This window comes from Homo sapiens, chromosome X (assembly GCF_000001405.40).
Source record: "Homo sapiens chromosome X, GRCh38.p14 Primary Assembly".
Lineage (NCBI taxonomy): Eukaryota > Metazoa > Chordata > Mammalia > Primates > Hominidae > Homo > Homo sapiens.
In genome coordinates this window covers 51,496,602-51,514,574 of record NC_000023.11, presented here as the reverse complement: position 1 = coordinate 51,514,574, position 17,973 = coordinate 51,496,602, and the positions used below count along the sequence as shown (strand labels likewise).

Here is a 17,973-nt window from a genome sequence, read left to right as displayed (position 1 = left end):
TCTCAATAGATGCAGAAAAGGCCTTTGACAAAATTCAACAACTCTTCATGCTAAAAACTCTCAATAAATTAGGTATTGATGGGACGTATTTCAAAACAATAGGAGCTATCTATGACAAACCCACAGCCATTATCATACTGAATGGGCAAAAACTAGAAGCATTCGCTTTGAAAACTGGCACAAGACAGAGATGCCCTCTCTCACCACTCCTATTCAACATAGAGTTGGAAGTTCTGGCCACAGCAATTAGGCAGGAGAAGGAAATAAAGTGTATTTAATTAGGAAAAGAGGAAGTCAAATTGTCCCTGTTTGCAGACGACATGATTGTATATCTAGAAAACCCCATTGTCTCAGCCCAAAATCTCCTTAAGCTGATAAGCAACTTCAGCAAAGTCTCAGGATACAAAATCAATGTACAAAAATCACAATCATTCTTATACACCAACAACAGACAAACAGAGAGTCAAATCATGAGTGAACTCCCATTCACAATTGCTTCAAAGAGAATGAAATACCTAGGGATCCAACTTACAAGGGACGTGAAGGACCTCTTCAAGGAGAACTACAAACCACTGCTCAATGAAATAAAAGAGGACACAAACAAATGGAAGAACATTCCATGCTCATGGGTAGGAAGAATCAATATCGTGAAAATGGCCATACTGGCCAAGGTAATTTACAGATTCCATGCCATCCCCATCAAGCTACCAATGACTTTCTTCACAGAATTGGAAAAAACTACTTTAAAATTCATATGGAACCAAAGAAGAGTCCGCATTGCCAAGTCAATCCTGAGCCAAAAGAACAAAGCTGGAGGCATGACACTACCTGACTTCAAACTATACTACAAAGCTACAGTAACCAATACAGCATGGTACTGGTACCAAAACAGAGATATAGATCAATGGAACAGAACAGAGTCCTCAGAAAGAACGCTGCATATCTACACCTATCTGATCTTTGACAAACCTGAGAAAAACAAGAAATGGGAAAACGATTCCCTATTTAAAAAATGGTGCTGGGAAAACTGGCTAGCCATATGTAGAAAGCTGAAAATGGATCCCTTCCTTACGCCTTATACAAAAATCAATTCAAGATGGATTAAAGACTTAAACGTTAGACCTAAAACCCTAAAAACCCTAGAAGAATACCTAGGCATTACCATTCAGGACATAGGCATGGGCAAGAACTTCATGTCTAAAACACCAAAAGCAATGGCAACAAAAGCCCAAATTGACAAATGGGATCTAAATAAACTAAAGAGCTTCTGCACAGCAAAAGAAACCACCATCAGAGTGAACAGGCAACCTACAGAATGGGAAAAAATTTTTGCAACCTACTCATCTGACAAAGGGCTAATATCCAGAATCTACAATGAACTCAAACAAATTTACACGAAAAAACCAAACAACCCCATCAAAAAGTGGGCGAAGGACATGAACAGATACTTCTCAAAAGAAGACATTTATGCAGCCAAAAAAACACATGAAAACATGCTCACCATCACTGGCCATCAGAGAAATGCAAATCAAAACCACAATGACATACCATCTCACATCAGTTAGAAGGGCAATCATTAAAAAGTCAGGAAACAATAGGTGCTGGAGAGGATGTGGAGAAATAGGAACACTTTTACACTGTTGGTGGGACTGGAAACTAGTTCAACCATTGTGGAAGTCAGTGTGGCGATTCCTCAGGGATCTAGAACTAGAAATACCATTTGACCCAGCCATCCCATTACTGGATATATACCCAAAGGACTATAAATCATGCTGCTATAAAGACACATGCACGCGTATGTTTATTGCGGCATTATTCACAATAGCAAAGACTTGGAACCAACCCAAATGTCCAACAATGATAGACTGGATTAAGAAAATGTAGCACATACACACCATGGAATACTATGCAGCCATAAAAAATGATGAGTTCATGTCCTTTGTAGGGACATGGATGAAACTGGAAATCATCATTCTCAGTAAACTATCGCAAGAACTAACAACCAAACACCGCATATTCTCACTCATAGGTGGGAATTGAACAATGAGAACACATGGACACAGGAAGGGGAACATCACACTCTGGAGACTGTTGTGGGGTGGGGGGAAGGGGGGAGGGATAGCATTGGGAGATATACCTAATGCTAGATGACGAGTTAGTGGGTGCAGCGCACCAGCATGGCACATGTATACATATGTAACTAACCTGCACATTGTGCACATGTACCCTAAAACTTAAAGTATAATAATAATACATAAATAAATAAGATACAGCTAAAACTTAAAAAAAAAAAAACAATAAAAAATTAAAAAAAAAAGAAAGATCTGGAAGGTTGAGAAGTTGGATAGGGCTGGACGTTGCAGAGGATAGGGCTCCCTCACAATGTGATATTTCAGCAAAATCTAATGAAGTTGATGGAACGAGCTATTAAGTATGTGGAGGAAGAATAACAGGCAGAGAGTACAGCCAGTAAAAAGTCTTTAGTTGAAAGTATGATTTTTATAGGTAGGGTTGATGTAGTGGGATCTAGTGGGGGAGTTGTTGGATTTTAGAGAAGTAACAGAGTATCAGATCACATAGGAACTTGAAGCCCATGCAAATGGTTTGATATTTTTTTCTCTCTCAATGAGATGGAGAACAATGACAGAGGAGTGGCATGATCCAACATAGGTTTCAAAAGGATACCTCTGGCTGCTGGGATGAGACTAATCATTAGAAACAAAGGTACAGGGAGATGAACCAGTAAAAATGTTATTGCCATCCAGGCAAGAAATTGTAGTGGCTTACAATGAAGTGGTAGGGGGGCAAAATTGCTCACATTCTCAATATATTTAGAATGCAGGCCCAACAGTATTTCTGGATGAATTTAATGCCAAGATTGACACCACTGTTTCTAAGCGAGCATCTGAAAAGATAATGTTAACTTTAACTGAGATGAGAAAGAATGAAAGTAGATGAAATCAGGGGAATGAAATAAATCCAATTTTTACACAGTTAAAATCAAAATGTTTATTTAACATGCATGTGTACTTGCCAGGTGGGTAATTGGAAATAGACTGTGGAATCTAGGTCAGCTATCTAAACTGGACAGTGATGAGAGTGTAGATCACATAAGACACCACAATACTGGAAAAGATCACCAAGGTAATGAGTGTAGGCAGAGAAGAGAGAGAGACCAAGGATTGACTTCTGAGGCACTTCAATGTCAAGAGGTCATGAGGAAAGGAAGAGAATCAGCCAAGGGGACTCAGGAGTTACAGCTAATGAGGTCACAGAAAAACCAAGAGAGTATTTTACTGGAACTCAGCAAAGAAAGGACTTCCGAGTAGAGGGAGTTATCAACTCTATCAAATTTTTTTTTTTTTTGAAACAGAGTTTCGCTCTTGCTGCCCAGGCTGGAATGCAATGGCATAGTCTCAGCTCACAGCAACCTCCACCTCCCGGGTTCAAGTGATTCTCCTACCTCAGCCTCCAGAGTAGCTGGGATTACAGGCGTCCGCCAACACGCCCAGCTAATTTTTGTATTTTTAGTAGAGACAGGGTTTCGTCATGTTGCCCAGGCTGGCCTCGAAATCCTGACCTCAGGTGATCCACCTGCCTCGGCCTCCCAAAGTGCTGGGATTACAGGTATGAGCCACTGCGCCTGGCCTAACTCTATCCAAAAGTATAAATAGGTCAGTTAAGGAGAAGACTGTGAAATAGCCACTCGATTTAGAAATATTGGTGTCATAATTTCTGTTCTTTTACATTTGCTGAGGAGTGCTTTACTTCCAACTATGTGGTCAATTTTGGAATAAGTGCGGTGTGGTGCTGAGAAGAATGTACATTCTGTTGATCTGGGATGGAGAGTTCTGTAGATGCCTATTAGGTCCGCTTGGTGCAGAGCTGAGTTCAATTCCTGGGTATCCTTGTTAACTTTCTGTCTCATTGATCTGTCTAATATTGACAGTGGGGTGTTAAAGTCTCCCATCATTATTGTGTGGGAGTCTAAGTCTCTTTGTAGATCTCTAAGGACTTGCTTTATGAATCTGGGTGCTCCTGTATTGGGTGCATATATATTTAGGATAGTTAGCTCTTCTTGTTGAATTGATCCTTTTGCCATTATGTAATGGCCTTGTCTCTTCTGATCTTTGTTGGTTTAAAGTCTGTTTTATCAGAGACTAGGATTGCAACCCCTGCTTTTTTTTCATTTTCCATTTGCTTGGTAGATCTTCCTCCATCCCTTTATTTTGAGCCTCTATGTGTCTCTGCACGTGAGATGGGTCTCCTGTATATAGCACACAGATAGGTCTTGACTGTTTATCCAATTTGCCAGTCTGTGTCTTTTAATTGGAGCATTTAACCCATTTACGTTTAAGGTTAATATTGTTATGTGTGAATTTGATCCTATCATTATGATGTTAGCTGGTTATTTTGTTTGTTAGTTGATGCAGTTTCTCCCTAGCATAGATGGTCTTTACAATTTGGCATGTTTTTGCAGTGGCTGGTACTGGTTGTTCCTTTCCATGTTTAGTGCTTCCTTCAGGAGCTCTTGTAAGGGAGGCCTGGTGGTGACAAAATCTCTCTGTCATGGTTACCTTGAGAAGAACAGTTTCTGTTTAGTGGAAGCTGCGTAGGCCTGGCTGAAGTATCATTAAGAGAGAATAGAAAGAGAGATATTGGACACAGTATTGGACCGTAGATGACACTCTGTGGGAAGCTTGCAATAGGGGAACAGATAAATAGCACTAAGCAAGTAAAAGGAGTGAAGTAAACAGGTTTTTGGTGCTTGCATTTTTTTAACAAGGGAAAAATAACACCAGTGTGTATGCTGACAGGAATAACATAGTAGAGCGAGAAAAAGTCATGTCATGAGGGTGTTACAAATGCTGTGAGATTATGAACTTGCTTTTTGAATTAGCCAGTCTAAGTAAGATTTTTCTGTCATGTGTAAGCAAAAAAACTGTCACGGAGTGAGCAATTGGCTTGATATGTCTAACTTTTCTGTTGTATGCCAATTGTGGAGGCATAATTTTAATATTGCTCTCTTTCATATATTTTGAATAATAAATTATGTGGTCACAATAATTGGATAGGAAGACTGGTTCTACAACCATAGATTCCAATCCTGGGCCTGCCACTTATAAGATGTCATCTAGGATAAATTACTTAGCCTCTGTGTCTCATATGAAATGTCTTCCTATGAACATAGGGATAACAAAGGTACTTATGGTGTGTTGCTGAATCAAATGAGGTAAAGCGTTTAAAGAGCTTATAGAAGAACTTGCTATGTGGTAAAATTTCATAAATATTAAAAGTCTGCATGCCACCTGATAAAAATTCCCTTTTGTAGTAAAAAACATAAACTTCCTGATTAACCGTTTTTGCCTACTAACACATATAACCTTAAAATTAATTAATAAACATGCAACTAACAAAGTAAAATTATTCACAGCTCCATTTTATAGGTATGAAACCAGGGAAATAGATCATTTAACTAAGATACAAAGGGAATTAAAATATAATGGTTAATTTACAAAGTGTGTCAAGACGCTTGGTGTTATGGTTAATTTTATGTGTCAGCATGACTGGGCCATGGGGTGCCCAGACATTTGAGCAAACATGATCCTGGGTGTGTCTGTGAGAACGACAACTTGATTTCAGCCTTGTAAAGCCCTAGGCAGAGAACACAGTTGATCCACGGCAGACTTATGGAAACTGGGAAGTGATAAATGTGTGCTGTTTTAAGCCACTAAGTGTGTGGTAATTTTTTATGCAGCAATAGAAAACGAATATACAGGTATTTAAGTTATTACTATATGAAATCTATTGTGGCTAAAATGATGCACTGCGTTATCTAAACCACTGCAGAAGATGAAGAATCATTTTTGGCTCAGCCATAACCTACGTAGCTCTAAGGTGCAAATTAAAGTAGGTATAGCTAAACGCACAGTGGTGAGAATGCTAAATATTGTGTAGGGAAGACTGATTACAATGTAGCTGTGAGAACAGGCAGCTTCAAGTGTGACAGCAACAATGGAGGACACTTCCAGGTAAGACGGTGTCATTCTCAGTGTGAAGGGCTCAGATGCTGGGGCTGCCCCTTCTGTCCCTGCCCTTTAAATGAGGCAGAGATTTCAGTTCCAGGATTCTCCTGTGGGGCCACAACAGACAAGCAAAGCCAGGGGAGTGGCAGGCAGTGGCTTTGAATTAAACTAAATAACTTATTATAGAAAACTCGTATGATAGACATTCTTTGAGGCTTTAGAGTCTCCAACACCAGCTAGCTCTGTGACTCAATCAGCATTCCAGGATTCTAATTTATAAGAGATGTGTGTGTGTGTGTGTGTGTGTACGTGCATGTGTGGGTGTGTGAGTGTAAAACACCTCCCGGATAAATAACTGTGACAAATCTTTACAGACCACTGGCAGTGGGGTTAAGATATGCCTGCATGATTTTCTGCATGAGACACCTGCAAAGTTCCTAAATGTTCCTATCAAACCCAGAGCCTACCACAATGCATGAAACATGGGGACTTTGTTTTAACCTAGCTCCCATTGGTCAATAGCTTTTAGTACCAGTGTATTGCTGAATTCCTGGCTTCATAATTGATGCCTTTCTAATAATCTCTCAGTTTCTGAAATGTCCTCACAGTGGGATTAATTTAGAAATTCCCCTAGGCTTTACAAGTAAAAAGTGATTGATTAAAAATAAATTAACTGGGGAGATTAATGAATGAATATAAGATTGCTAATCCAATTATTTAAATGTTTGGGTGAAAGGCATAAACATGCCGGAATATGAAATCACGCCTCTGAACTCACAAATAACAGCATTTTCAAGCACAGACATGCATGTTCATAGTCACAAGGATTCATTCCTCCAGATGTGAGTCCTGCTCCTATTTCCTCTACTCTTGCTCCATCAAATTTTTTATCTCCTCTCCCTCTTTTCCCCTCTTTCACTGGAAATACGCCCTGTGCAGAGTATAGCTAAGAATTTACATTCTTTTTGTTTGTTTTGTTTTCCTAGGAGTTGGTTATGAATAAGAACCAATTTTTTTTTTTGAGATGGAGTTTAGCTCTTGTTGCCCAGGCTGGAGTGCAGTAGCATGATCTCGGCTCCTGCAACCTCCACTTTCCAGTTTCAAGCAATTCTCCTGCCTCAGCCTCCCCAGTAGCTGGGACTATAGGCACTCGCCACCACAGCTGGCCAATTTTTGTATTTTGTATTTTTGGTAGAGACGGGGTTTCACCATGTTGGCCAGGCTGGTCTCGAACTTCTGACATTGTGATCTGCCCACCTCGGCCTCCCAAAGTGCTGGGATTACAGGCATGAGCCACGGCGCCTGGCTAAGAACCAGTTTTTACTTGGTCTTTACATATGCTCTATCAATCAGTTACACTACATAAACATATAGGCATTGCAGAAGGTTTACTGAATGAATACATTTCATACTGAAACACTGATAGCAAAAACACCCACTTCCAAATTGGAGGCAGTACACTGGTTGCTTTCCACATAGGAAAGTGGCTTTTGTGTATCAAGAGCCATGCAAAGTCTTCTAGAAGCTGGTAGGTGTCGCAGGACTAGAAAGCAGATTCATTTGTCCATGGGCCTCTACACAGTGAATAGCATACTTTTCAGCACACAAAAAGGGGTAAATCAACATTACTTAACTTATTCATATATATACCTTTTCAAATCTGCCACCCTCAAATATAATGTTGTAAACTAAATATTTCACAGGAAAAGAAAAATAGCATTTGTCATGAGTCAACCTCTAAAATAGAGGGATGACGTAACAGCAGTATGAAATTTTAAAATTTATATTAGTGGCTTTCAGAGACACAGGGATTTCTTTCCAAGACTGTGTAAAATGTGGGGATACTGCTGACCAGTGTAGGCAATGGATTGTGATGCATGCCTCTTAAATCCCAGCTCTGCACTTCCTAGCCATGTGAACAGGGACAAGTAATCTACCCCTCTGAGCCTAAATTTCCTCATCTGTGAAACTGGAAGAAAGAAACTTATGTCACAGGGATTTTAAGAAAACTATCAGTAAGATATGTCAAGCACCTCATACATGGTGGGCCCTGAAACAGCAATTATTATATATTCTGATATTGTAGTTAAGAGAAACCGCATTCCCCCAATATAATTTCTTAATTAGAATTTTGTGAATCCTACACAAAGAGAAGTTCATCTGACACAAAAATCAAAGATGCTTCCTTCTGAGATGTAGGCTGGTAGTAAAAGCTAATTGATCAAAGCTAAAGCGAAAGAATCTAAGAATGTGATAGCTTTCACTTGTAGGATATACTATTGTAGTGTAGGAAAACTGCTAACAGAACTATTGATTTTCAAACTTGCCTTGAAATAGATAACCTGGAAAAGATTGAAAAAAGGAAATATTTTTTCCCATCTTGCACTCCCAGAGAATGTCTGGCCCAGAGCCCATGGTCAGAAACACTCTATCATGTGGTAATCTCTCCAGAACTGGCTGATTTCATTGGTGGTATATTATGTTTTACTATGGAACAGGGAATGCAGCCATCTTCCTGATCACAATTTTGATACCAAACATCACGTGTATGTGCCATGTTGTCTTTCTCTAATGATTAGGTGAAGTTTTAGTACAGCGTGGTGACCTTGGAAAGCCTGTTCTGCTTCTGACAAAAGTGGCCTGAGCCTGTGGGTACACAGTGTTATTGGTAAGTAAACTATCTTCCCTTGTGGGCTAGCCTGATGTCTTTGTGGAGGGGAAGGCATCCTTCCAAGACCGGAATTCTCTCACGCAGGGACTAGCTGTGCATAAAAGATCCTCCTCCAGATCCAGCTTCAACAGGACCTTGAAGCAGCTGTAAGTACCAATCATTTTATCCCTTCACAAGGACTTGAAACAAACTCCATTCTTCTGCCTCTGCAGAAATTAGTGTTGAAATTTCCAGCACTTGACCGAAGGAGCAGGAGAACAACTTCTAGGATGAGGAGCTTCTGAAAGTGTTAGGAGGTGGGAGGAAAATGTTGCAGAGATGTGTGCATGAGAAACGGGGAGGGGAGCAGAGAGAACTCCAGGGGCAAGTTAAGTGGTGGGGCTCTGCCTATACTGCCATCTTTGTGGGGTGTTCTCATCAATGAGCCTGGAAGATTCCACCTCATTCAGATACCTCCTAGCTGTCAGATACTGGCCAAGTTACATAAGGCCTTAAATCTCAATCTTCTCCCTTGTGAAAATGGGAATGACAACATTGCCTTTGAAGGGCTTTTATTAGGGTTAAATGAAAAAGGTACATGCAGTGCCTAGTGCAGCCCATCCATAGTTACGTGTCCTACTACACAACAATAGCTTCCACTTTATTTTCAACTTTTTCATAACATCGTTCTGCTTTCATAGCATTTAATTATATAATCATGTTTCTTTCTGAAAGCCACTGTCTTATGAAAATAAAATACAATATGTAAATCATAGTACAAGTCCTGCCCAGATAAAACCAAAACCATTTAGGTGATGAATGACTGAGATCTGAAAACAGCACCTCAAGTCATGCTCTGTAGTAGGAACTGTGCTACCCTGTGAAGAGGCCATGGAAAATGAATCAGACTTCTGGCCCTCAGGTATCTCACGGCTGCCCAGCTGTGTTTCTATGGCATCTGGTACCTACATGGTGCAGAAACAAATGGCAGCTACTGGAATAGCTGGAGATTGCAAAGAGAATGTTTTCCCTATCAGTGTCATTTTCAAAAGATTAATTAATTCAAACACTATTCACTATAGCCCTTTTGGTTGTATCAGAGAGTGTGGATGGTGGGTTCACAAAGACCAACAAAACATGGCCCTTTCCCTCACAAGTCTCCCATCTAGCACAGGACACAAACACATTCATTACATCCATAGATATTTTCTGAGTGACTCCAGTGTATGCTCAGCAGAGATCTGGGCTGCTTGCAAGATACAAAGATCCCTACCATCAGGAGCTAATACTCTAGCAGAAGCCATCATCGGCTAAGAGAGAGAACCGCAATAAACATCACTAAGTAATTACATAGTCTGTTAGATGCAAAATGCTATAACAGAAAGGAAACTTCGGCCAAGGAAAAGGGGATCAGAAGTATCAGCAACAGGGTGGCAAGGAAGAGTGGGTTTAACAATCTATCATAAGGTGGCCTTGGTAGGCCTCATCCAGAAGGTGAGAAGTGATCAAGGCCTCAAGGTGGGTGAGGAGGTTATCTCTGTAGACATGGCAGAGGAGCATTCCAAACAGAGGGAATGGCTAGAGCAAAGGCCCTGAGGAGGGAAGGAGCCTGCCTGACACAACCCAGAAGCTGCAGAGTCCAGGTCTGCTAGAGATGTGTGGCTCATGGGGACTGGTAGGGACAAAGTCAAAGAGGAAATGGGCCAGATGTTGTAGGGCCTCATAGGTTTTGGAAGCATTTAACATTTTACTCTGATGCATAAACACAGGGCCACTAGAAAGGGTTTGGTTTCTGAATTAGAAGTCTCTGCAAGGTAGGGTAAAGGGAAAAGGAAGGTGACATCAGTGAGACAGGATCAGGTAGTGAGCAAAGAAGTGGGAGAAATCAAGGCATGCTGCATCATTACGAGAGAGGCAGGACTCGCCTGGACTTCACAATTCCATGGATCACTGGGGCCACATCCATGACCTGTGCACATCTATACCATTACTCACAAAATCATAAAAGTAGCAGTTCTGTATGCATCCCGTCATTTGTCCAGGAAACAAACAAAACAATAAGGGAGGTTATTTTGTATTCCATTCATTTTGTATTTAAGACCTTTCTAGGGAACTAGCTAGTATAGACCCAAAATAAAACCACCTTTGTATTTAAACAAGAGTGTCCTAGGTACATGAAGGAAGAAAACATTAGGGAACATACGAAGGTTGATGTGAAAGACACAACTTACCCCACCTTCCCTGGTCCTAGGTTCATTCATATTTCATTTAATATCACTATTAAATAGTTAACAGGTAAAATAACAACTATCCTTTGTGATCCATGTAGATCCTGTCATCATTTCTCATTCAATCAATATGTTTTAAATCCCTATTGGACAACAGATCCCAGGCACTGTGTTGACTCAGAGGGGAACAGACATGTTTCAGGCTGGTTCCTAGTCCTACAGTTCCTCACGAGCTTGCAGACAGATCATTACAGAACTCCTAAATTAGAGCTATGACAGAATTAAAGTCAAGGAAGCCTGGAAAAACAGAGGGGAGTACCTTAATCCCAGTGTAAAGGTTGGGCCAGCACATGGTCAGGAAACCTTTCTTGGGAGAGGTGAGGTTCTGAGTAGGTAGTCCTATTATCCCCCTTTACGCCTGAGAAATATTAAGGTCAAAGATATTAACTCGCCTAAGGCTGCATAGCTACTGAGAGAGCAGGATTTAAATTTTAGTTCATTTGCATTTTAAAACACCATATTTTTTTCTCATGGACTACTACCAAAATCACTTCCTCTGGCTCTGCATCCTTTAAGTATTCTGAAAGCTTCTCAGGTATGTTGCAGTCCCTTTCCTGATAGCTGGGTCCAGCTGTGAGTAGAGTCAACCTCTGAGAAGGTCTTTAACATTCCTGACCCCAGGTAATAGCTGTTTCTGGAGAGCTCCTCTCTTAGGACTGTACTCCACTTAAGACTCAGTTAGAAATGTCAGCCGGCATGGCTTTCTCACTAAGTAAAGCACCCAACTTCCCTGAGGATGCTTCTACTATTCCTGTCAATTGCCCATCTGCCTGCCCCTTCCTAATTCTGAAAAAAAGGCAGAAATGTGTATCCTAGACTTGTTGGTTTCAGGGTAGATCCTCTCCGCTTTTATTCTAGGGATTCTGGAAATTTACATGGAAGCTCCATTATCTTGCGTGCCTGGATTTTCCAGGCAGAAAAAAGCTAGAAAGGAGGAAGGCCACACCAAAAGGAATGACATGCACTGTCTATGTCAGCAACTCTTAACGTAAGGGAAACATGCCATAGTGAATGCAAGACGATTACCCTTGGACTCAAGACAGACCAGGGTGTGGATCCCAGCTCCACCACTTCCCGGCTTGCTCACTTTAACCCATCTCAGCCTGTTAATCTGTTAAAGGGGATTTTGATACCTTTCAGGTTTGTTTATACAAAAATATTAAGTGCATGTAAGAAAGCAGACCATCCATAAATCAACATCATGGCCTAGTGTGATGACAGCATAGAATGTCTTCTTTTCTGTATCACTTCATTGCATTTTATCTTGCAGGGGAAATCAAAGCTTCAAATCGTAAAGTAACATGTGGAGGCGACACAAATATTATTTGCTGGGAGTGAGAGAGGTACTCACATGCTCTTTTCACTTATTGTCCAGAAGAAGAACATCATGATGGAAGATACCTTTCACTGGAGTCAGTGACTCTTAGCTACTGAATACCTTACCCAATAGGTCAATGCTGAATGTTATCAATGAAGTCCATAACAAACCATAGCTGTGGATAATAATAATCCTTCTTATAAGACATGTTGATGTTGTGAGTGTGCAGGGTATGGAGACACGAAGCCTTGAGCTCAAATACAAACTCCACTCTAAATCCTCATTTTCTCATCTATAAAATGGACATATGAACTGCCTCCCTCCCTAAGAGTTAATGGGATAACAGTTAAATAGGATGCAGGGAATAACACAGGGACTGTCACAGGCACTGTACTCAACACATGTTAGATATCTTAACCTCATCCCTTTCTTTCTGACTCCAGAGAAAGTGAAATGCCAGCATCTTTAAGTAGACGTTACATTTCTACAACGAACAACCTTTTTTTTCTCTGATTGCTTTTGGTTGATTTTGATGGATGGTGTCAATGGTTGGAGCTGCTAGTTTTTAATGCATAACAAAGCACCCCCAAATTTTATGCTTTACACAACAGTAAATTATTCTGTTAACAATTCTTCAGGTCAGTAATTTCAGCTGATCTCATCTGAGTGGTTTTTTTTTTTTTTTTTTTTTTTTTGCTGTTCATGGCTAGGCTTAGTTATGCATCTTCAGCTAGCGCCCTGTTATGACCTAAGTAGTTCTGCTAGGGGCCGAATGGTCTAGGATGGCCTCACCCATATGTTGGGCAATGGGTTCACTGTCAGCTGGGGTGAAAGGGAAGAATCTGCCACAGGTATCTCATCATCCAGCTAGCCCCACCTTCTTCACATTGCTGTCACAATGTTTTAAGCGCAAAATGAGAGGGGACACCCCAGTGTGAAAGCACTTTTCAATTCTCTGCTGGCTTCTGTTCACATTTGTTATTGTCCCACTGGACACCACAAATTACATGGCCAAGACCAGATACAACAACAATGTGGAAGGAGATATAGGCTTCCACGAACAAATTGCAGTTTCACTTTAACAGTCTACTACTACAGTGATTCCTAAATTACACTCTTCATCATTGGAGAAATACTTAAATATGCAAAACCAGACAGTGGAATGCTGTTCTCTTAAAAAGGATTTTTACTCTTGTTACAAGTCTTAGCTTTTCTTGACCTATTACTATAATATTATAGATGAATAATAAAGTTATTAGGCTGTTCTTGCATTGTTATAAAGAAATACCTGAGACTGGGTAATTTATAAAGAAAAGAGGTTTAATTGGCTCATGGTTCTGCAGGCTTTACGGGAAGCATGGTGCCAACAGCTGCTCAGCTTCTGGAGTGGCCTCAGGAAGCTTACAATGGTGGCAGAAGGCAGAGAGGGAGAAGGTGCGTCACATGGTGAAAGCATGAGCAAGACAGGGGAAGATGCCACGCACTTTTAAGTGACCAGATCTTATGAGCACTCACTATCACACAGACAGCACCAAGCCATGAGGGATCCGCCCTCATGATCCAAACATCTCCCACCAGGTCCCACTTCCACCATTGGGGATTACAATTTAACATGAGATTTGGGCGAGGACAAGTATCCAAACTATGTCAGCTGTGAAAGTTTGGGGAAAAGGTAATTAAAACATTGCCTTGCTATTGTATTAAGCCTGTTTTAAGTTGTGGGTCTCCATATCCAGACTTTCCCAGTAGGGTTTCGGTCTGTGCCTCTTTCCATGTTATAATGTCCTATTCCTCTTCCCTGCCACAAGTATGCCCCCAGAAGGGACCTATTGCAGAGGCACGGTGTGATGTAGAACTGATACTGATGGAATAGACTAGAAAATGGCACCTCATTCTTGTGAGACAAAGGAGATAGTACCTGGCAATTGTGAAGCAGCCCTGCCCTGTGGCCGGAGCCTGGATTGGCCCCTCCCACCCCCAGACACCACACCAGTCTGCTAGCTTTGCTAGAGTGACTCGTGATTTATTCAAATCATGTTTCAAAGCTCTGAGAAGTTCAAACATTTTGTACTACCAAGTCCTAAATATTTTTTAGGATCCCTTGGTATTTTATTTGTTTTGTGGTGGTTGATAGTGCCAAGTTGGATGTCATCATTTCCCATTTAAATTCCTACATGATTATTGCTGGTATGCATGAAAGCTTCTGATATTTTAAATCATAATATTTTATTTTTTTATTTACAGGGATTTATTTTTACATTTTTTCTTAGCTGTTTCCCAAGAAGATATCCACATCATCTACAAATAATGACAACTTTGTGTTTTTACCAACATATATCAGATTTTTTTCTCTTTACAACTCATTCCACTAGAAAGAAATTGTAAGACAATACTTAATAACATTTTTGATAGTAGGCAGACTTGTCTTGCTCCTGATTGTAATGCAGTTTTCCCTAGTTGTTTAACATCATTTGTGTGTTTGTGAATTTGAGAACCCTGAGAAATATTGCCTGTTAAGTATACTTTCTTAGTTTTTTGTTTGTTTGTTTGTTTTTTGAGATGGAGTTTCGCTCCTGTTACCCAGGCTGGAGGGCAATGGCGCGATCTCGGCTCACTGCAACCTCCGCCTCCCGGGTTCAAGCGATTCTCCTGCCTCAGCCTCCCGAGTAGCTGGGATTACAGGCATGTGCCACCACGCCTGGCTAACTTTGTATTTTTAGTAGAGACTGGGTTTCTCCACGTTGGTCAGGCTGGTCCGGAACTCCCGACCTCAGGTGATCTGCCCGCCTTGGCCTCCGAAAGTGTTGGGATTACAGGCGTGAGCCACGGCGCCCAGCCTCTTAGTTTGTTTTTAATCCCAAGTGTTGAATTCCTTCAAATGCTCTTCCATTGTCCATCCATCTTTAAAATATGGTCAGGAGCGGTAGTGTCTCTATCGAGGTCACTCTTTTTATGTCTGTATTTTATAATTTTGTTAATATATGACCCGCAGCGTTTTGTCATATTACGGTCTAGGTTAGTGCAGATATTGCTTGTGCTTGGGAACAGGATCATTTTTATTTGTGATTCTGGGTATAAGTGGAGTTGAGCAGATCCTGGGAAAGTGAACTAAACTGTTATTTGAAAATTGGACTGTATGTCTCACGACTACTCTCCATTTCCATATGAGTCCATTTCCCCTAGATAAAGGAAATATTTCATCAACAAACGAAGGAGGCTTTCATGATCCCCCCTTGGCTGATGCCAACAGAGTGCCAGTAAGAGAGAGACAAAGGTGCAACCAAAATCAGGGGACCTCAGGGTTCTTCTCTCTACGGCTACTATGAGATGAGGAAACACCAAGAATAAATAAGAAGAAAGAAGGCTCCAGGTTGTTAAATTTTTGGCGATGGGATGCCATTTCCTGGCCAAGAGGACAGGAGGACCAGAGAGAGAGGTGAGAGAGCAGCAAGTGACCTTGCGGGAGTCTCACGGCGGGAGTCTTTTAAAAATCAAAGTGTACCCAGAGTGTGATGTTCCCCTTCCTGTGTCCATGTGTTCTCATTATTCAATTCCCACCTACGAGTGAGAACATGCGGTGTTTGGTTTTTTGTTCTTGCGATAGTTTACTGAGAATGATGATTTCCAATTTCATCCATGTCCCTACAAAGGACATGAATTCATCATTTTTTATGGCTGCATAGTATTCCATGGTGTATATGGGCCACATTTTCTTAATCCAGTCTATCATTGTTGGACATTTGGGTTGGTTCCAAGTCTTTGCTATTGTGAATAGTGCCGCAATAAACATACGTGTGCATGTGTCTTTATAGCAGCATGATTTATAGCCCTTTGGGTATATACCCAGTAATGGGATGGCTGGGTCAAATGGTATTTCTAGTTCTAGATCCCTGAGGAATCGCCACACTGACTTCCACAATGGTTGAACTAGTTTCCAGTCCCACCAACAGTGTAAAAGTGTTCCTATTTCTCCACATCCTCTCCAGCACCTGTTGTTTCCTGACTTTTTAATGATTGCCATTCTAACTGGTGTGAGATGGTACCTCATTGTGGTTTTGATTTGCATTTCTCTGATGGCCAGTGATGGTGAGCACGTTTTCATGTGTTTTTTGGCTGCATAAATGTCTTCTTTTGAGAAGTGTCTGTTCATGTCCTTCGCCCACTTTTTGATGGGGTTGTTTGTTTTTTTCTTGTAAGTTTGTTTGAGTTCATTGTAGATTCTGGATATTAGCCCTTTGTCAGATGAGTAGGTTGCAAAAATTTTCTCCCATTTTGTAGGTTGCCTGTTCACTCTGATGGTAGTTTCTTTTGCTGTGCAGAAGCTCTTTAGTTGAATTAGATTCCATTTGTCAATTTTGGCTTTTGTTGCCATTGCTTTTGGTGTTTTAGACATGAAGTCCTTGCCCATGCCTATGTCCTGAATGGTAATGCCTAGGTTTTCTTCTAGGGTTTTTATGGTTTTAGGTCTAACGTTTGAGTCTTTAATGAGGGATAGCATTGGGAGATATACCTAATGCTAGATGACGAGTTAGTGGGTGCAGCGCACCAGCATGGCACATGTATACATATGTAACTAACCTGCACATTGTGCACATGTACCCTAAAACTTAAAGTATAATAATAATAATAAATGTTTCTTGCCATAAAAAAATAAAAAATAAAATAAATAAAAATAAATAAAAATCAAAGTGTGGAATAGGAGGGGATCTCCACGTGAATGGTTTCCCAACCCCCAAGTGGTGCTTATCAAAGAGAAAGACAAGGGTGGAGTGTGTGGAGAATGAGAGAATGTCTTGGGCTTTAACGCAGGAATACTAGATGGGTGGTGCTCTGGTCTTTAAGGTGTACTGCATCGAAGTGCAAATGGCTGCAACAAGGAGGCGAGAAGTGTACCCATGAGGAAACTGAGACACAAAGGGGTCAGGCAGGTTGTGAACAGGGGTTTAAGAAAAGCGTTAAATTACTAGCTGCGCCAGGATGCTCGGCAAGGTGGGAACCTGTTGAAGAAATAAAACTGCATCATGTGACTCAGCAAGGATGCGCGGCTATTCTGCCAAGAATCCCGTGGGTCGTTTTGACAACACCGGGGCCCAGGTCCCATGAGTAAGCCAGAATGGTTCATCGTGGGGGAGGATGATGACGACGATGCCCTTGCCTCTGTCGTGTGTAAAACGGCTGCGTGTGGGTTTCGTGCAGCGCGGTGGGGAGGGAGAGGAGAAACGTCCTGCCGCGCTACAGTCGCGTTTGGGTCAAAGGCACACGTGGAGGCAGTCGGCCAAAGTCACAATGCGGTGTATTTCACAGTGCGCGAACGACGTTCTCGGCCCCCAGGGGTGCGGGGCGCCTGCGCAGTGGGCCCGAGGCGTCGCGCGCTGCGGGAGCCAGGAGACCCCCGCCCCCGCCCCTCGCCCTCCGCCGCGAACGCGCACGTGAACGGGAGCGCGGACGCGTCCGTTAATGCGCCTCACCTCGCTCAAACCCTACCCGGCGGCGGAGGGAGGGAGACGCGCCCCCGACAAGCGAGTGGGGTCTGTGGACAGTCGCGGGCTCGCGGGCGGCGGCACCTCCTCCACTCCGGCGGGCCCGGGTTCGGCCGGCCGCCCATCGGACTGGCCGACTGGCTGACGCGCCTCGCTGCCCCCGCCTCCGCCTGCGCCCCGCCCAGCTTCATCTCTCCCTCCGCTCCCCGGG

General features: G+C 41.9%; 1 long non-coding RNA gene across 1 annotated transcript, besides 1 other annotated feature; it reads left to right on the top strand.

Moving 5' to 3' along the window:
- The first annotated feature begins 7,133 nt into the window (after positions 1 to 7,133).
- Positions 7,134 to 14,666, top strand: LINC01496 (long intergenic non-protein coding RNA 1496). The gene is made up of 5 exons (NR_110654.1): positions 7,134 to 7,312; positions 8,606 to 8,694; positions 8,782 to 8,843; positions 12,235 to 12,307; positions 14,527 to 14,666. It is a non-coding gene; the product is annotated as a long intergenic non-protein coding RNA 1496 (long non-coding RNA).
- Positions 17,793 to 17,912: a silencer, noted in NCBI's record as "silent region_20851". NCBI's record gives its function as "represses an Ori minimal core promoter by ATAC-STARR-seq in GM12878 lymphoblastoid cells {active_cell/tissue: GM12878}" and the evidence as "EXISTENCE:reporter gene assay evidence [ECO:0000049][PMID:35858748]".